This window comes from Homo sapiens, chromosome 3 (genome assembly GCF_000001405.40).
Source record: "Homo sapiens chromosome 3, GRCh38.p14 Primary Assembly".
NCBI lineage: Eukaryota > Metazoa > Chordata > Mammalia > Primates > Hominidae > Homo > Homo sapiens.
The window spans coordinates 89,258,854-89,279,995 of NC_000003.12; the positions used below are offsets into that span (position 1 = coordinate 89,258,854).

Consider the following 21,142-nt stretch of genomic DNA (forward strand, 5'->3'; position numbering starts at 1 on the left):
AATGGAACAGTTTTGCACCCTGAGTGTTGTGGTATCTCCATAAACCTGTACATGCCACAAAATCCAAACAAGTTTACACCAAACAACAATGAAAAGTCAATGTATGGGAAATCTCTTGGCGCCTGAATAAGGTCTGTATCTTAGTTTATTGAATTGTACCAATTCCATTTTTCTGGTCTTAATATATATGGTTACATATATATTATCATTGAGGGAAGCTGAGTGAAGAGTATGTGGGGATGCTGTACAGTTTTACAAATTCTGTAGTCTAAATTTATTTCAAAATATTATTTTTTAAATTACTTGCAAGAGTTTGCATGATCTGCCCTAGTTACCTCTCTGACCTTTGCTACTCTCAAGCTCACCAGTTCTTCTTCACCTGTGGCCACCTTGCTGCTGCTTGCAGGGACAGGCCATCCTTGGGGCTCTGTGTTCCCTAACCCTGACCACCTCCTATCACATCACAGTCTTTTTAGCCATTATGTCCATCATCTGTCTTTTTGGCTAAAATGAATTTTGTAATAAAACAAGAATCTTTATTTTGTTGAAGGATGATATTGCCTGAAATATGCTTGGAACATGCTAGGCGTTCACTAAATAAGTGTTGAATTAACTAACAAATCTTGAAATGTCTGCACTGGAAGTTTTTGTGTGAAAAGTGGGGCATGCCATATTTCAAGAGAATACTGTTTTTTAAAAAAGGTAAATTGTATTGTGTATATTTGAGGTTTACCATATGATGTTATGGGATACATGTAGATAGTAAAATGGTTGCTCTACTGAAGCAGATTAACATATCTGTCATCTCACTTAGTTACATTTTTTAAACACAGAAGCTAACATCTACTTATTTAACAAAAATTTCTAATACAATATAATTTTAGTCACTGTAGTCCTTGTGTCTTACATTAGATCTTTAGATTTGTTCATATTACCTAATCTGTTACTTTGTATTATTTGACCTACATCTCCCCATTTCCTTTCTCCCCATTCCACCCATGAAAACTGCTGTTTTATTTTCTGTCTATTTTTTCAGATGCCACTATAAGTGAGATCATACAATATTTTTCTTTCTGTGTTTTGCTTATTTCATGTAGCATAATGTCCACCAGCTCCTTCCACATTGTCACAAATAGCAGCATCTTCTTTTTCAAAGGCTAAGTAATGTTCCTGCCTCTGGATGTGTGTGTGTGTTTGTTTATAATTTTCTTTATCCTTTCTTCTGTCAACAGACACTTAGGTTGTTTCCATTATCTTGGCTATTGTGAGTAATGCTGAAATGAACATGAGAGTACAGATATCTTTACAAGGCTGTGATTCCATCTCCTTTTGGTATATACCCAGAGGAGAGATTGTTGGATATGTATGGAAGTTCTATTGTTAATTTCTGTGGAACCTCCATGCTCTTTTCCACAATGGCTTTTCCACAGTGTACATTTTCACCCACAGTATACTGGGGTTCTCTTTTCTCCCCACCCTAGCCAACATTTATTATCTCTTGTTTTTTTGATAATAGCCAATCTATTGGGTATGAAGTGATATCTCATAGTGGTTTTAATTTGCATTTCCCTGATGATTACTGATGTTGAGCACCTTTTCATATATATGTTAGCCATTTTTATGTCTTCTTTGGAGATATGCCTGTTTTGGTCTTTTGCCCATTTTTAAATCAGGTTATTTATTTTTCTGCTATTGAGTTGTAGGGTTTTTTAATATAAATTTTGGATATTAACCCCTTATCAGTTGTGTGATATATTTTTCCAGTCTGCAGGCTGCCCTTTGTTTGCATTTGGTTGCATTTTGTCAGTGGTTTTCTTTTCTATGCCAAAGCTTTTAGGGTGTAAGATTTACCTAAAGCTTTAACAACAAAATTTAACAATATTCTTCAGCTTGCTCTATTGACAGAACATAATATTACTCCTTTCTTTGCCTTTTGTTTTGCACACAGTCAAAATCACCCTCTGTGCTGACTTCCACACCAGACTGATTCATGAATGGCTGCTTTTTCCCATTGTTTCCTGTTAGGACTCTATGGTCCTCCACAGCATTTCCACTGAAATCTTTGAGGCCGTCCTGCTATTTCTCAATACATAGCAGCTGCTAAGCTATCCTGCTGTCTTCCATTATCTGCACATTTCCTTCTGTGGAGTTATATTCCAACAAAGGTTCCTGACATGCTGGCTGAGCTTGCTCTTCTTACAATGCCATTTGATTTTCAGTAAGGTTTGCTAGCAGATGATGAGATGGCAGAGGAAGCCAGTTATGGTATTTGCTATTAGACTCAGTCTTCAAGAGGCTGTAAGGACTTCCTTGTTTGAAAATCTGCTAAAAATTATTTTATATTCTTCAGAATTATTTGATTTTATTGTGACACTTGTATATTCTTTCTTCTTGATGCTCTTAGAAAAGTCACTCGTGCCTCAGACTGTCTTTATACCTGCATTTTTTTCCCATCAGAATGCTGACCTCCTGCCTTGTTCTTTGTATGTTCAGCTCCTTTGAATACTTCAGCCTTCAGTTAAAAGTCATCTGCACTGAGAGCTGTTTCCTTACCCCTGGATTGAAAATACACTTTTACTTGTTCTTCTCCATGCGGACCTTGCTTAGAACTTGTTATTTTTCATGTATTTTTAAGTTGTGTGCATTGTCTCTTTTCCAATGGCATGCATGCTCTATAAGAGCAAGGGGATCTTTGACTCCCCACTGTAGCCTGTCACCCAGCACAGGGTTTGTATATAATAAGTGCTCAAAATAAATATATCTTAAATAAATGGATATTTGACAAAAGTAATTTCTGGATGCTATTAGAGCATGTACCCAGAAAATAATTATTTGAACCCAAAGTGGCCACAAGTATCAGATACGCACTCATTTATAACTCTAGTATATTGTCCTTAACATTGCTCTTTGAAAGCCATTTTCAGTCATTTTATATTTTCAAGTAGTTTTTTAAAAAGTGATACTATTAGTTTGGTGCAAAAGTCATTGCGGTTTTTGCCATACTTTTAATGGCAAAAACCGCAATGAATTTTGCACCAACCTAATACCTTTGACCAACACACAGACACCCACACATACATATGAACACACACATTTATTTTATAGCATTATTAGTAAAATATTGATATTATTTAATTGGTTTACCTTTTCGAATGCCTACATCCAAAGATAACACAAAATATGCAATAGTTTAAGTCACAATTTTAGTTTTCACTGGAAAGAACCCAAATAATATTATAACTACTATCAAAAGGAACTCTCGTATTCATATCTACATGGCCTATGTAATATCAACTCCAACTGTTCACAGATCACTGTCATCAGTATTGATAGTAATAAAAATAAAAATATATCAGAATATTTACTCTCATGAGAAACTGTATTAGTTTCCCAGGGCTGCTATAACAATTTACTACAAACTGGATGACTTAAAACAACAGAATATATTTTTAATTGTTCTGGAGGCTAGAAGTCTGGAATCAAAATATTGGTGGGGCCATACTCCCTCTGAGGATTCTAGGGAAAATGTTTCCTTTGCCTCTTTCTAGCTTCAGACAGTGGCTGGAAATCCTTGGCATTCCCTGGCTTGTAGCTATGTCACTCTCATTTTTGTCTCAGTCTTCACAAGGCCTTATTCACAGTGTGTGAGCATTTTCCTGACCACTTTATGAGGACACTAATCATTAGATTTACAGTCTACCCTAATCAATATGTCCTCATCTTAATGTAACTAATTATATCTGCAAAGACCTTTTTGAAGCACGGTATTTCCCCGACCCGGTCGCATGATGCGTGACAGGGGTGCCTTGTTTACTCAGCCCACCTCTCTCAACTCCTAACAGGAGGGAGTGCGTAAGTGAACACAGCGGTAACTGGAGTCAGAAGCACTGGAACCGGCTGGCTGTTTCGGTGCCTGCAGGATCAAACTCTATTCACTCGCACCCACTGCGTTCCACCCACCGTGAGAGGGAGTGCGCAGGTGAGTGGGTGCAGGAGCCACAGCAAGCCCTTTTGGGCGCCTGCAGGAGCTAACTCCGTTCAGGCCCCTCAGCAGCATCCAAGCAGGATGCATGCAACTTCCGAAGTCCCCGAGGGCATGTTACAGCGCTCTTTTTTTTTTTTTTTTTTTTTTTTTTTAATTATACTTTAAGTTCTCGGATACATGTGCAGAAGGTGCAGGTTTGTTACATAGGTATACACGTGCCATGGTGGTTTGCTGCACCCATCAACCCGTCATCTTCATTAGGTATTTCTCCTAATGCTACCTCTCCCCTAGTCCCCTGACAGGCCCCATGCGTGATGATTCCCTCCCTGTGTCCATGTGTTCTCTCACATGTGAGAGCATGTGGTGTTTGGTTTTCTGTTCCTGTGTTAGTTTGCTGAGAATGATAATTTCCAGCTTCATCCATGTCCCTACATTGCTCTTTTCGCTCTGCTGTCTGCGGATGGCTTAAGTGTTAACAGCTCAGTAGGCCCTTTGCCTTTTTGCGTGAGGAGGCTGCCCTCCACCAGCAAGGGCAAAAGGCCAGTGTGATAGGCTTTTGTATCCACACTTGTGGCTCCCAAGCTCTTGTACAGCATCCATGAAAAATGAGGTTGCACGAACGAATTGAAGGATGGTAAATGCGGGGGATTTTATCGCTGGCGAAAGTGGCTCTCAGCAGTAACGGGAGCTGAAAAGGAGATGGGGCAGGTAGGTAATCTTCCCCTGAAGTCTGGCCATCTCGGGCCAGATTCATTTCTGAAGTTACGCCGTCAAGCTGTCTCTCTGAAGTCAATCTGCTTCTCTCTGAAGTCCAGCCATAGTCCCCAATGTCCAGTTGCTTCTCTCTGCCAGCTGAGTGTGGGGTCTTTCTAGGCACAGGATGGGAGTGGGGTGGGCCATGGGTAGTTTAGGAAAAGACAGCATTCAAGCAGGAAAACAGGGATAGAAGTTCTAATTTTGGGCCGTGGTTTCAGGCTTTTTGGCTTGATGGTGGGGTTTCATTGTGGACCCTCCCTTTTCTTCCTAGAATTGCTCTGCCCTCTGTCCCTATCACTATTTCCAAGTAAGGTTACATTCCGAAGTTTTAGGTGGACATGAATTTCTATTTCAGGGGAGGGGATGCATTACTCAACCCAGTAGAGTCTGCCCTCTGGCCTCAAAAATCCACGTCCATCCCATGTGCAACACAGCCCAACATTCCCAAAAGTCTTAACCCATTCACGCATCAACTCTAAGTCCAAAATCTCATTTAAATATGTTTGGTTCAAAAAGCTTCAAATCTTATCATCTGAATCAAGGATGGCCAAGACTCTGGGTGTGATCTATCCTGGGGCAAAATGTCTTTTCATCTGTAAATCTGTGAAACTCTTAAATGAGCTATCTGCTTCCTAAACACAATGCTGGGATAAGTATAGGATAGGCATTCTCATTCTCATAGCGGGAAACTGGAAGGAATAAAGGAGCTGCTTGTCACAAGCAAGTGTGAAACCCAGTAGGGAAAATTCCACTGGGTTTCAAGGCCTGAGAATAATCCTCTGTGGCTTGATGTTCAGTCCTATGAATCTGCAGATTCCTGGTCAGCCCTGTCCTACGTTCTCTTCCCCACCAACTCCTACCTCCCTCGTACCCCTTGCTCAGTGAAATCGTACTCATTTTTCAGTCTTAGTTTGACTGTTAGTTACGTATTCTAATGTAGATGAGTTCTCTTTTTATAAATTATCATATAAACGTTCATTCTTATCTTTGCTTACTAGAAATTATAAAGTTGAGTAATTTCACAAATAAATTAATCCTTGTTCCCCCAAGCAGGATTCAAAGGAGAACAGGAGAAGCATATGTCTTATTTGCTGTTACATCCCCAAAGCATAGGTCTATGCTTGCCACATCCTAGGCTCTCAGGAAATATTTATTGAATCAATAAATAAGATGGAATTCTGTCTTAAAAGAAAACAGTAGGAGTTTTGTGCCTTTTGAGTTAAAATAATGTCATGGGCAAAATACCTGATTTCATATTGAAGTTCCAAAGAGTCATTAAGAATATTAATGAAATGAAAATGTACTCTTATGCTTTAAATATTTTTCATTAATTTTTGTGGGTATATAGTAGGTGAATATATTTATAGGGGATATTAGATGTTTTGATATAACTCTTATGCTTTTAATGTAGTAATTTTAAGATTCCAGACAGAATTGCAGACATTTAAAAATTTTAACATATCCTTTGGAAATTGATTAAAAATTAAAAATTATGTTCAGCAACAATATAGAGAGACTCTCCCATAGGTGTTTTGGCCTAATATAATTTTTGTTATTATCATCATTTTCTACTGTAAGTGCATCTCTGACTTATAATTGTAATAAATAAAAAATGCAACAAATCTTCTTTCCAAAGCTACATTTCCCAAAACTGGTGTCATAGAGCATAGCATTTATTTAGAGATGCATCAAGAAAAATGGGGAATCCCTGACCACATAATTTTGGGAAATGTCATATTCAATATCCTCCTTCAACAATTAATTTTCATGAAGTTCGTTAGGTGATATAAATAGCTCTGCGTAGTTCTACAGAAAAAAAGTTATTTTCTAAAAAATGTTGCTCCTTCAAAAACTTTTATTTTAATATTTTTTGTAAATATCTTGATACACCATTATTTTATAAAATAATTTTGGCAAAATATGTAATGCAAAATGTGATATGGCTTTTATTATTTAAATTAATTTATATTCTCATTTAGGATAAAGCAGTTTAACAATGCCTTCTTTCAAATAAATATAATCTGATTTCTTGTTATTTCTGTTTATTTGCTGAAATTATAATTTCAGAGAAAAGTATAGCAGAACCAATTGCTTAATTTCTGACCCAAGTGCAGACATCAAGGAGTAAGCAATGCATCACTCCTTTTGTCATGTGGACATTATGAAATTTAGTACATTCTCGGTAACTGTCAAGTCCTGAGAATGAGCACTGGTTAGATACCTGGGCAACCTTCTTTTTGTACCCTCTTCCTCCATGTCAAGTTTCTCTGCCTTTGGGGAATGTGATACTAGGAAAAAATTTCTGTAAGATATACACAAGGTAATTTCTATTTCTCATTTCTACTTTAAAAAGTTTTAGGATTTGATTGAAAATTTGCTTAGGAACTTGTTGTTACTCAGGATTTTCCAGTCTGGCGGACACTACCAGAAGATATATAAACACAATTAAATTCCTAGCTTAGCTCTGAGCTCTGTCTTCTGGACTTCAAGATAATCCAGAGAGACGCAATCCTACCAAGACACTCTAAACTCATTGAATAATAAAAATAGCATAAAGTATGAACCCATTTAATATTCATAAAAATTCTATGAAGTGGGCATTTGTATTGATTTCATTTTATAGATAAAGAAACTGAAACCTACAGTTCAAGTCACTAGTCCTAGGTCACACAGTTACTAAGTGAAACAGATGAGATTTGAAACCAGGTCAGCTGGTTCCTTACTCTTAATTACTACACCTTACAGCCATCATGTTCATTGGAAACTATTGTTTTATTGAAGCCAGCTTAGTTCCCAGGTAGCTGAATTTATCTTCACATTATTAGACTTTAAAGAGTTCTGTTTCACATTTTAGTGTGTCAGTGTTGAATTGAGGATTTAAATTCAATTTTAGCATAACACATAAATCAGTGAACTTCAATTACTACAGATTTTGACTAAAAGTCTTCTGATTTTTTTAAAGTAAATATTTATAAATTAACTCTCAATTTTTCTCCAACCCTAAGAATATAACTTTTCTTACATAAGTAGCATATTCGGTCATCATTGGTAATTTTAATGCTTTCTTTATGTTTCTTTATCCTTTATGCTGTATATTTTTATGTTCTCCTTTGATCTCTATAATTCTTCTGATATTTCTGTTCGGACTGTAAACAATTGGTTTTATTAAAAAATAATCATTTACAAAAACAATTCAATAACAAATGAGTAGACACACAAATTAGCAGTGAAAAATATGATCACATACCAAATACAAAATAACATTCTCAAAACCCATTTTAACGTGTTCAAATACAATTTTCTTCAGAAATAGAAATTCACCAATTCAACCTTGAAAGGGCTAAAACCTCTGAAAGTCAATGACTTAAAAAAAATTTCAAATAGTATTTCATTAAAAAAATGAAATTGTCTAATGTTTTCTACCACTTCTCATATTATGCTTGGATGCATTTTTCCTCAGAGAGCATAAGACAATTTGCAGAGTATAAGCAAACTGAATGAATAGAAATCAGATTCTTTCTAAGGCAGAGCTAGAAAGGAAATAGGATAAAACATGTAACAGAAGGTGAGTGAAAACAAATCAGGAGCAGTGGGTAAAGTAAGCTTACCTTGCCAAATGTTCCATTATAAAAGTTATAGTATCAATGATAGAAACTTTAGGAAATTTAAGATGGCGGACATCCTTACAATTTTCTTTGTAAGTACATTTAAAAAAGATGTCTGTGTACTTCAATTGGAAGGGAATGAGGGTTGACTCAAAGCATATAATTAATTATCCTTGGCTATTTTACACTGTGGCTAATTCAGATGTTACTCTCTCAGGAAGACAGGGAGAAACTTGATTTATTTTGTCTGGAATCCTATTCTTATTAAAAAAGAAAGGCTTAGGCATCTACTGACTGACACAAGTCACAGCCCTGCCATTCCCCCTGGAAGCCAGGAAGCAGAATAGCAAAGAAAGGGTGTTTCTAAATGAACATTAAAAGCCCTTCACCATGGAGGAAGCTACATTAAAGGTAACGTCTTGGCAAGGAAATATTGCTGTTTAGCTATTTTTTTTTAAATTAACTTTATGAAGGCTGTCCTGGTATGTTCAAATAACACAAAGTCAATCTTTGGTTTATTTCTGTTTAAGCTTTGGCTTGCTTTTTTAATCAAAAATTTTAAAACAATAAAAAATTAAAAGCTTAGAATAAATGAAGGCCAAACTGACTTAACGTTTTATACTAGAATATTAACAGTTGCTGAGGTGATGCTGAGCTCAATTTTGAGAAAAGAACAACAGATAAACTGACAGGATAACATTTTATTTTAAAACAGTGTGATTCCATTAGGCTACAAGTATGTTTTGTTAGTAATTTTAACTGATTTGAAGCTCTCTTTGCTATTGCTCTCATTTCACATTGACCTTCAGTAAAGTATGCAAATTGTTACAATGATGCAAAAGATAACGTGCAGTTCCTAATAGCTAGGATGGGCTTACTGATATAGGTTAAGAAAAATTATGAAGTTAATTACTTGTGGTAGGTTGATGTAACTCAATCCATTTTTCCTAGGGATGCATTTAAATGCCAAAAGAAACAATTCACTTGCCCCAGCCCACACAAGTCAGTAGTAGCACAGGGTGGTGTTTGAGAGGGATTAAAATTCACAAATTCTGACACTTAGTCTACTAAACCACATCAGTTTCAAACTGCCCTCAGTAGATCAACTTTCTTCTTTCTGGAAACATGTGCTTCCTAATGCTATTGCTGATGAAAGATATGTCTGTTCATGTGGCTAATCTTCATTGCTTAGAAACAATAAGAAAGGTTCGCTCATCTTAAAGAAGTTCAGTGCATTCTCAGAAATTTAAAGGGATACTTCAAGTTTCTAAAAACTCCAAATTTTATTTTCCTTTTTCTTATTTCTTGATATGTGTGGTCTATCTGGTTTTCATGTTTCTGTTTTTTTTTAAGCCACCAACAATTTTATCATATAATTAATGTGTTTGAAATCAAGAAAATTGAATTCACTTTTAGTAGTGTAGACAGTTACCCTATTATAAATTATATCTATGACATATTTAAAAAGAAAACTTAACTGCTGATTTTTTAGGAAAAAGAAATCTTGTCTATAGCACTTTAGCTATAGCAGTAAATCAGCTGAGGTATTAGAATTTTACAATGTTCTCTGAGGAAAGTGAAATTTATTATTGGCTTTTATATACTCCATTATTTTCACAAAGTGCTATAAAATAATTTTACAAGTTTTTTTAAACCTTCCTGTGTTGTGATAAATGATATAATTTTTCTTATTTATAAGTTAAGAAAAAAAAAACAACCTCAGGTCAAAGCAAGGTTGTGTATTTTATACAAGGTCGTGTGTCTTATACAAGGTCATAGGATAAACCCATGGGCATTAGTTAGAATTTTAAAAGTAATATGGTATTATGGCATTACTACTTTTACTTTTCTATTCTTTTAAACATCACAATCTACTTCGAGTGTTGCTTTTGTAAATCTACTGACCAATAAGATCTTTTAAGCATTTAATGTATATCATGTGCAAGACCCAGTTTTAAGTGCCTTACGTGGGGTAAACTATTGAAACCTCAAAACAACTTATGAAGAATACTGTTTACACATTTTACAGAGAGACTGAGGCACAGAGACTTTATTATGACATGTCCATATCCAAGAAAGAGTATAGAGCAGTGACTTGGAACATTAGTTTCCAAAATGTGAATTCCAGACCAATAGCATTGATATCATCTGAGAATATATTAAAAATGCAAATCCTTGGTTCCTACCCCAGACTGAGTTAAAAGCTTGATGTACAGGGCATAGAGAATAGTTTTTTTTATAATTTATTATTATTATTGTAGACACAGGGTACTGCTTTGTTGCTCAGGCTGGTCTCAAACTCCTGGCTTTACGTGATCCTCAGTGATCCTCCTACCTTGGACTCCCAGAATGCTGTGGTTATAGGCATGAGCCACCCAGCCAGAGTGACAACAATTTTTTTTTCTTTCTTTTTTTTTTTTATACTTTAAGTTTTAGGGTACATGTGCACATTGTGCAGGTTAGTTACACATGTATACATGTGCCATGCTGGTGCGCTGCACCCACTAACTTGTCATCTAGCATTAGGTATATCTCCCAATGCTATCCCTCCCCCCTCCCCCCACCCCACAACAGTCCCCAGAGTGTGATGTTCCCCTTCCTGTGTCCATGTGATCTCATTGTTCAATTCCCACCTATGACAAAAATTTTTTTAACAAATGATTTTGATGCATGCCCTTGTCTGAGAACTACTAGTTCAGAAGATAGAGTCTAAATTCTCTGCCTTTGACTCACAAGATTTTCATTTACAGGGTGTGTGGCTTCAAATCACTGGTCTTTCAGGGTCTGAGTTGGGTTATCTTTAGAATAACACTGGGAATACTAGTAGCTCTTCGATGGGGCTGCCAAAAGGACCAAATGTGAAAGCCTACTTCAGGCAGGTAGTATATCTTCTGTGAATACCAAATCCAAAACTCAATTTTATTATTTATAAGATTGAAACTAATTATTATATAAAAGATTCATTAATTTAATGTATTAAGGCATTCTGCATGGTACCTGACACTTAGTAAATGGTTAGAAACTGATATCATGTTATTATTTTTATTACTACTACTATGATTCATCATTATCACTGTCAGTCATTATTTGAGTTGTGGAAAACTAGGCTATTGGTTTACCTATGACCTTTATACTCAGAAATCCCTTTCCAGCCTCCTTCTGCCAGGACTTCCACGCACTGTCTACTCATTTGTGTCTGTCTGTCTTTGGCCAGCTGTTAGTCCACCTGTTTTAGTCATGTAGACAGCTTCTCCTGATCTACAGCCAGCCTGATCCTCACTTCTGTCTTATTTCCTTAAGGAGAGATGCAATAATGTTTTAAATTGTGTAGCCTGAGTATGAATTCAGTCCACCATAAATAATTAAATGCATGACCTCTCTTATTGAGTGTTTCTTTTCATTGATGTTCATAAAACTTAAACAAATACATGTGATCAATCTTGTCTGTGCCCCAGAGTTGTAACTTTTTGAATGAATTCAATGTCAACTTGCAAATATTATTTCTTCAAAATTTCCTCTGTATGTTATTTTTTCTTCTATTTATTTCTGATAAAAATTGTCTGTGCTTTTTGATTAAAAAGCAAACAAAACACACTGGGCTCCTCTAGCAAATTATTTCTCAAGCTACATATAAAGTAAACTAGAGAAAAGAAAAAGTTATTAAGAAAATCATAAGGAAGAAAAAATATATTTGCTGTTTATTAAATCAGAGTAGATCATCATAGCGGTCATCCTCATTGTATTCACATTAAGTAAGCTGAAAAGGAGGAAGGGGAGGGATTGGTCTTAATAATACTTTTCTTTAATCAAGTTAAAAAAACTGATATGGAAAGAATAAGCCCTCCCTACTATTTGTAGCTATTGTACAAACAAAATATAGATTATACTCAACATGTTCTTCCTTATTAATATTGTTATATGTTCTGCTTCAGCATTGAGACAAAACATCTGTGTATTCTTATTCTTCAGGAAATGTTAGGTCCAATAATGTTGAGGAAGGCATAATTTTACCTATAAAGTCACTGTATTACCTTTTGTATAAGCAAGAAACCACAAGAAAAGCCGAAAAAAAGAAAACAAAGCTTAGCTAGAAATGGCAATGTAAAGTGGGGTTTGTTAAAATGTGAAGAAAGTATTATAATTCCCTTGCAGAGTACAGCAAAGTTAGGTATATTTCTGAATGGTGTTCATGATAAATGTATTTTTCTAATGTTTTTTTAATGGCTGAAATTCCTAAGGTTTGCTATGACATGGAGGCGTCAAGAAACCTGCAGCAACTTGGCTTTCTCTCACCTTTAGTGTTCTTGAAACTGATCATGTCTAATATGCTTTCGATCTCTGGCTTTATATTCAAGTCTTCCATTTAACTGGTAGTATGTAAAACAAAACGTATACTGTTTTTACCTGCCTCTATTTATCTCCATCCATACCGATAGCTGATGGTTGATTGTAATATGTTGAAATAGAAGAATAGCAATAGAAACAGAAAAAGGAGGAGGATGAGAAGGGGAAGGAAAAGCAGAAAAGAAGAAGGAAAAAGAAAAATACCAGGAAGAAAAAGAAATTACTAGAAATTAAAAATAGAAAATGCCATCAAGCGAGTCACTTTTATACTGGGCCCTCGAACAACATGGGTTTGAACTTCACGGTTTCACTTATACATAGATTTTCTTCCACCACTGTCACCCTTGAGACAGTAAGACCAACCCTTCCCCTTCCTCTTTTTCAGCTTACTTAATGTGAATACAATGAGGATGACCACTATGATGATCCACTCCCATTTAATAAATAGCAAATATATTTTTTCTTCCTTATGATTTTCTTAATAACTTTGTCTTTTCTCTAGTTTACTTTATTGTAATAATATAGTATATAATACCTATAACATACAAATACGCATTAATCGACTCTTTAAGTTGTCAGTAAGGCTTTTGGTCAACAGTAGGCTATTAGTAAAGTTTTTGAAAAGTCAAAAGTTATGCATGGATTTTCAGCTGCATGGGGAATCAGTGACCCTAATTCCTGCATTCATTGTTCAAGGGTCAACCGTACTACCATTTTTTTTGTACCAAATGTATTACCATTTTTTTTTGGCTATGATCCTTAAAAATGAAAATAAATTCTATTCTTTTTAAAAATTTAAATAAAAATATTTTATAAGTCATATAATTTGGCTAATATGTCACACAGCTGTGGTTGTATTGATAGATTACAAAAAATTTCATCAGCTTTAAACCAAAGCCCTCTCTTAAAAATGATGCAGTGTATTTCAACTTTGCCTTGTTAAAGTGTCAAGAAATTTTAATCCATTAAGAGTTGTTAAAATGTGGAAAATAAGGCATGTGCTATGCCAGATTTTTAAGTGCCCATGTGTTTGCTCTTAGACAAAGAGTTGTGTTAAGTAGAATCGTATTTCTCATTTTTCTAGTTGTATGTGATAATTGCACTTTAAACTCCTCAAATTCACTTCTGTCTGACGTGGCTTTGATCTTTTACTTGGTCCACATTTTACTTACTCTTTTTCTCTTTGTCCATGTTCATACTCATAACCAATCATGTTTAAAAGTAACTATGGAACACATGGAAAGTTGGAATATTATTGGGATAATGAAAGAACTTATTTTTTACAACTTGATGACATAGGATTTAAAGTAAACGTAAATCTGGGAGGTGCTTAATAGAATTAATGTTCTCTGATGGTCACTGTAAAACACTTAAGAAACCATGTATCTCTGGCTTAAAATAAATTCTGACTACATTATTTATTACAAAATTATAATCTACTTACATTGGTTAAGTGACTATTAAAGGAAGTGAATATTTTTCTTATCTAAGCAAGTAGCTTGTAGGCCAAAAATACATTTGGTTTGATGGGAAGATAAATTTTCAACATTTTAAAGTAATTTTTTAACGTTTGTATGCATTGTGAGCCAAAATATTTGATTTCTTATTCCAACTGCTTTAACTCTAGCCATGTTCTTTTGAAGACATTACTTTCTCTGAGAATCACTTTGCTTATTTGTTAATGGAATATGGAAATGCTTGTAAATACCTAAAAAGGAGGTACAAGTGACATAAAGTAAAAAACCTTAAAAGGCAGTAGGAATGTAAGTCATTGTTATTTTCTTTGTTGCCATTTCTGTATTCTATCTATTCATGTTATATCTCTCACTGTTTATACCTTAGTTTAAACTTTATATTAATAGAACAGTAGCCAACTTTTCTTTTTGCCCATTTCCATCAGTCTTATTTGCACAATCTAACTTCGAAGAGAGTTTTTAATAAATATAATTGATGTGAATGGATGCTTGTGAAGTGGAAACTGGAGTAGCAAAAAATATGCCAAGAGTGAGAAGATACTCAGTTGTAGTGTTTACAGTAAGTTTTCTTTATCCATGGTAGTTATATTGTATAAAGTTGCTGTGACTATTGAATTGCTGCTCCTAGGGGAAATACAAGTTTAGCTTCCTGAGGGCACCTGGTTACAACATTGTCATCAAATGATCAATACATAGTCTTATTTTATGTATGTTTCTGTTTTAAGGCACCTTATTTAATATACAGTTGATTCATTAACATTAAAATCATGGCCAATAGCATGCAACTACTGCCAGAAAGGATATTTTCTAACATGTATTTTCTCTGTAAGGCATATTACAGCCTTCTTGCATTTAGGAACACTGGCTGACATTTTACCACTGTGCTTTCGGGCCATTTTATACAGCAAAATCACTAACAAAAAGCACAGAAATGTGAAAAATGAGGCACTAAATAGACAGTTATTTACAGTGTGAGAGTTGAAATAAGAAGGCAGAGAGTTGCCTTATTTGACCTCAGCTGAGAACATGCATGTCAGGCAACTCAAGTTTTTGCCATTCTGTCATGTCTACAAATGACTAGAAAGTGCCACAAGTATTGACTTTTGGGTCACAAATAAGTTTTAGCAAATATGTGAATTTGCAAATACAAAGTCCCCAAGTAAAAGATCAACTTTGTTATTTTCTATTTACCCACCACCCTCCCACTTTGTACCAGCCTCAACAATAATTGATGTTTTGTATGCTGTGCTTTAAATTTATTTTCATTTTAAAGATTCAAAAAAAATCATTCCATCTCTGTTATGTCAGTACTCTAGTATTTTTTGTTTTTAGCATTATTTAATACTTTATGAATATTGCAAACACTCAAACATTAACTGACTGAACTAAGTAATTTCTAAGCAATAAGCAGTATATTTAGGGAGGAGAAGAGTAAGGGAAATTTATTTAAGTGTAATCATTAGACTTTGTCTAATGATCTGTGTTAAATTCTTACATTTTCTAATGAGTAAGGAATAATACCCTCATCTGAAAGCCATAGATTTATGTGAATTAATAGAGAACAGACAAATATGTTTAAAAGAGATATCGGTTGTATCATAATTAAAATGACTTATCTAGAAGTGAAAATCAACACTCTTGATAGAGCCATCAGTTTAATATAGTAAATTGAATGCCTGCCTTGTACCTTGGGCTGTCAAAGTTTTCCGCACTTTTGGAGAATGGACAGCGATTTAGAATCGTAACCAAGGAGGGAAGAAAAGGCAGATTAACCAAAAAATTTTAAGAAGATTGGAGCCCAATAATCATGCATAATCTTCACCAAGCCACTCCTCCCAGTACAAAGATAATATAAGTGAAATTGTCATCTTTCCTGTCCATATGTATCAACAAATTTCATATTGTCATTTCACTAGCATGACAGATATGTCAGGCATGTCATTTTTACTTTATAATTCTAGTGCTGTTAACATCCTGCTCCATAGACATTAATACTTTCAGAACTTTGCTAATGATGAAACTGAAGCTTTGAGTGGTTGTGACTTGTTCAAGGTCAAATAGATAGTAAGTAGTTTAATTAAAATTGAAGTTCAAGGCTGAGTGATTCCAAAGTCCATAATTTTTCCGCTACATCAGGTTTTATATATATCAACCCAAAATTCCTACTATTGGATATGCTATGAGACAGTCCTTGCGGGAGCAATGTCAATTCTACACACTCCTTTCCCTGGAGATTCATGTTCTTCAGAAATCACTGACAGCTCCTAAAATCAAGAAGCTATGGTGGAAGAAAGAAAACTGTCGGCACCAGAGCCCCGTGATTTTCCTAATATCAGCATCTTCATGACTCAGGAAACTGGATTTCCCTCTACAACTATACGTTCCCTAAACCTTCAAAGTGTGTAGCTGGGAAAATGTGGATTCGTAGTCATACTAATAAAGTTCTTAATTTGTGAGAGCTCCAAACCCTCACCTATAATAAGTGAGGATTAGGTATCTTATCTCTGTCTTGGACACTAAGAGGTTCAAATGAGATATTGTAAGTGAAAATGCCTTTCAAAATGCAAGTCCATAACCCATTTACAAATGTGCTCACTGCCACCAGATTCTTTTCCAACACCAAATTTTCTCAGAAATATGAAAATTCTTCAATATTTTCCACAAGTGATAGCAGACAGGGTGAAATAGAAAGTTTGTGCATTTTATGTGCAGCTTTCATATTTGGTTTAAGTTTTCTGACTCTGTATCACGGAAAAATCTTGGTTTATTTTATTCATTGACTCAATATTTATTGAAGGCATACTAAAAGCTACGAACTTTGCTGAGAGCTGGTACTATAATAATGAATAAAGCAAATCTCTTCCCTCAGTTAAAGGGAATGCAATGCAATGCAATACAATATAAACCATATTTTTCATAACCCAGGAAATATACTTGGCCAAATTTTGGGGAGTTGCAGAAGGTGTCTGAACTAGAACCAGCAGGGTGAATAGCAGTCAGTGAGGCATAGTACGGGGGAGAAAAAGCAGAGGTAGAAACACTCAGGAAATAGAAAAATGGCTGTGCTTGCATTTTTAAAATAGATGCTCTCAAGGATAGGCATCTTCTAAAAATGTCCATACTCTCAAATCATATACAGGTAATTTCTCCCCCAGAACATACTCTGATTGCTTTATCAATGTCACAGGATGTCATCCATAAAAATATGTCAACCTTTTAAAGAAGTGGAAGTATGAAAAGGCTCATAACACTTTCTCTTAATCCCCTTCCCTCTCAGATAGGATGTCTATCAAGCATTGTACTGTACAGAATGAGGATGCCTCTGCCTGGGTACTTAAATTATTGATCAAACCTGTCACTAGCAAATTCTTTAAACTGGATACATTTTGATTGAGTAGGAAGGAATGTTTAAATGGATGCCTGACTGTGAAGAGAATGGTTTTGCAAATGTCTCCACAGTGCTCCTAATTGAAGTTCTGATAATATAGCATTGCAAGATAACTTGTTCTCCTCTATTTTTAATATGGCAATTTAAAATGTGCATATATATTAAAAAACACAGGAGTAGAAAGCATCAGAGATTGATAATACTCCTTTCCTCTCCTCTTAGATGTTATTTGGGAAAAAATATGAAATATGTTTGACTGAGTGAGAAAATAAGTTTTACCATGCCTTCTGTATTCAGGAGAAAGATTTATTATTCTAATCCGAATAGCCTTCTCAGGAAGTCTAGGTTCCCATAGAAGACAGGAAATTAAGTGTTTTTCTATAGCACTAAAAGACACATAATGTATTAAAGAGAATATCTAAAAGTCCGTCTGTTTTGAAGCTATCCAGCTGCAGTATTCTCTTGAAAAGATCATAGCAACTTTTCTCTTATAGTTTCCAAAGTGATGTTATGGATCAATTTAACAGTTTTCAATGAGTATATCCCTTTTAAAATGTCATCTTATAAAGTTCATGATTAATTGCATGAATATCCATATGAAACAGCATTGCCTCTCCTTAATCCACCTCCCCAATGAAAAGCTAAATGCATATGGACTAGCCAAAACTTTAGAAGACATGGTATCTTCGTGTGTTTGCTACTGAATTACCAACTTGCATGTCCTAGGAATAGTTTAATATGAAGGCATACAATTTCTCTGAAAACTACTTTTTCTTATCTCTAAATAATGGTTTCTTCATCTCAATGCAAATAATATTAAATTAAAAATGCATACTGTAATTCTGAATTTTAAAGTGGGAGAAATATACGTTTAAAGAAGTAATGATACCTAAAGTCCAACTATAAAGTAACAGTATGAGAAATCCTTTAAGCTCTTGAATATATTTCTAGCTAACATTAAAATGGATATTTCATTCAGTACAATATTCACTATATAGCCATATCATAGACGACTAGATTTGATATTTGAAATTTTAAAGTCTAAATTGGCAATTCAAAGATAAATCTTCTCCACAAAACTTTAGTTCAGAACTAGATAGCAATAGTAAAATTGTTCTAGACCACTGAAAACATGATTGTTTTAAATAAAGTGTTTTTATTTATGCATTTAAAGATATGTCACTGGGGTAGCATACTCTGGCCTGCTTTTGTTTTATAGGTTTATAATTCAAACTCTAAAGCACCCAGTTTAATCAGAAAAATGATCCCAGTATATTATATTTTTTTGTCATAATATGATGCCCTAGTGTTCTATTGCTCTTTTCTCAAAAATTTCCGGAAACTTTATTTTCCAGTGACTATTCCTTTTCCCATTTATGAAAATTCCCTATGCATTAGCTAATATGATTTAAAGCAATTTTGTTCTGTTTTCTCCTTTTTAAACATCTTTCACACAATGATTCTCTTTTGGACCCTCCATGGATGGTGAATATAATTTCAATGGGGTGTTTAACTCTTACTTCTCATACCAGAGTCAGGAGGTTGCCTTCAGCTGCCTTTTCAAGGAAAGTTCCTGAGGTTTGTCTCAAATGTATTTGATTTTTTTTGACAAAGATCTGTGCTTTTACAAGCTTTATGATGGGTTTATACTTTCTGCAAGTTGCCTTTCTAAAAACATGTGTAATTCCCCAGCAGTCCTTTAAAATAGAGTCAAAATACTTTTCTTTTGGAGAAGTTTTACCCCAAAGGCTAGTATGTTATATATATTTCCTGCTTTACTTTTCATTTTAAAAGATTTATTCTTAATCCCAGGCATATTGAAACATTATTCAGACAGGGTATCATGTTTGCTGGGTCTCTGTGGCATACTGGCAGCCTGCATCTTGCCACAAGGGTAGCTAGAAGCAGGTCTCTGCCCTGTAGGTGGCTGAAGCCAGAGAAGCTTGGCTCTTCCAGGTAGGAAATCAACCTGTCAAGAAGAGTCATGGAAACACGATTAGTTTACTAACTTCATTAAATGAAAACGTTTGCAACACAGGGCTCCCTTTGCTCTCAGTGTCTGCCGTTGCTAAACAATCCAGTGTTTCATGGGGCGAATGGAATGCCATGTGTACTCCCAGCAGGAGGACATTCCAGAAGGCCATGGGCTTCCTTTACCTGGTGATCTTGTGGACTTCATGCGCAATGGCCTATTTTGTGACGCTTTCTCTTCTGTATTTCTCAATAACCCATAACCACAGGTACACAAATTAGGAATAAAATGAAATAGAGGTCGCTCTGCTATTTTCAGATCTTGATAAACCTGATTTAAGATTTGTATATATAAGCTATCAACTTCTTGAGTAAAGCATTTCTGACGACTAGGCCCATTGCCCCAGAGGTTTGCCTTAATTTCCCAAAAGAAATGTGCTAAAATGAGTGCAAATTAACTTCCAAAAAGAGGATAGATTTCATTACTCTAAGTGCCTCATGCTGGGAGAAAGGTGCTGTTGAGCTCATATTTAAGGGTGATTAGAACTGCATCTTTTTAACTCGAGGATTCTCAAGTATGCATTCAACTTACTTGCTGGTAGTTTAAACTGTGGAAAATTTGAACCAAATGTGTATATAGTGTTTTTTTCCCCTCACATTTTTAAATAGCAGACTGTGGAAGTGTGGATCATTTAAATTCTAAGAGTAGTCTTTTATTTTAAATTTAAAATTGTTTTGCAAGTAAATAGCTAAGTCAAGTGAATTAAAAATTGTTTTGCAAACACATAGCTATGTCACTGTTCCTTAGAGTTTTTTTTAATTAACATACATACACACCCAGGAAACCTCATTTAGGTAGGCAGAAATATGTTCTCTTAAGTAATGAGTTTGAAAGAAAGTCTTTTCTTTTAATGGAATTGACACACTCTGTTTACCATTCTAGAAAAAGTTAGAGAAAAGGTCGGTGGCCTGTACTTGTTCTACACTTTAATATTTATAATCATTGAATACATTATATTCATAATAACTTATGTTTGCCATCATTAATTAATTTTAAATTTTTGGGTTTTTCAAACAAAATATATAGCTACCTATTGTGTTATTAGCTAAGAAATATGTCTAAGAAATGTTAAAAAATACATGATACTAAAAGTTATAAGAAATTACACATTGGTATTCAGTGATGTGAGCTAGTCTGCAAGTTTATTTTTAATGTAAAACTTTGGCTAATTGATTTTTTTTCTCATACCAGATAAATATTTCTTCATAAGGCCATCTTTTTCTAGAGTGGGTCCTGCAACACTTATTTGGTGCAATTCTAAAGTAAAGGTAGTACAAACATATTATATATTTGACTACTAATTTATCTTCTCATTAATTTGGTTACAGTCCTCCTTGCTAAGTAGTGAACAAGCCTTAAAGAAAAATAACAATAAATAATATCAAAGGGTTCAGTATTATTATATGCTGCATTGGGAAAAGCCACTCTAAATATAACACAAAAAGAAGGTAATTACTTCAATAATAAGAAATGATCTTTATTAAACACATTAAGTTGTGAACTATATTTTATTCATTCAGCTTATGAACTCAGGGGAAAATATATAGAGTTATTGAT

The 21,142-nt window shown here is 34.7% G+C and overlaps 1 protein-coding gene across 5 annotated transcripts in view, besides 1 other annotated feature; it reads left to right on the plus strand.

Annotated features, from left to right (window-relative positions):
- The window catches only part of EPHA3 (EPH receptor A3), a 374,514-nt gene that overhangs the window by 151,233 nt on the left and 202,139 nt on the right, over window positions 1–21,142 (plus strand). The gene's annotated exons all lie outside the window — the stretch shown is intronic.
- Window positions 19,352–19,911: an enhancer, noted in NCBI's record as "OCT4-NANOG hESC enhancer chr3:89327355-89327914 (GRCh37/hg19 assembly coordinates)". NCBI's record gives its function as "activates a minimal SCP1, AML or CMV promoter by ChIP-STARR-seq in primed H9 embryonic stem cells {active_cell/tissue: H9 hESC(primed)}" and the evidence as "EXISTENCE:reporter gene assay evidence [ECO:0000049][PMID:30033119]".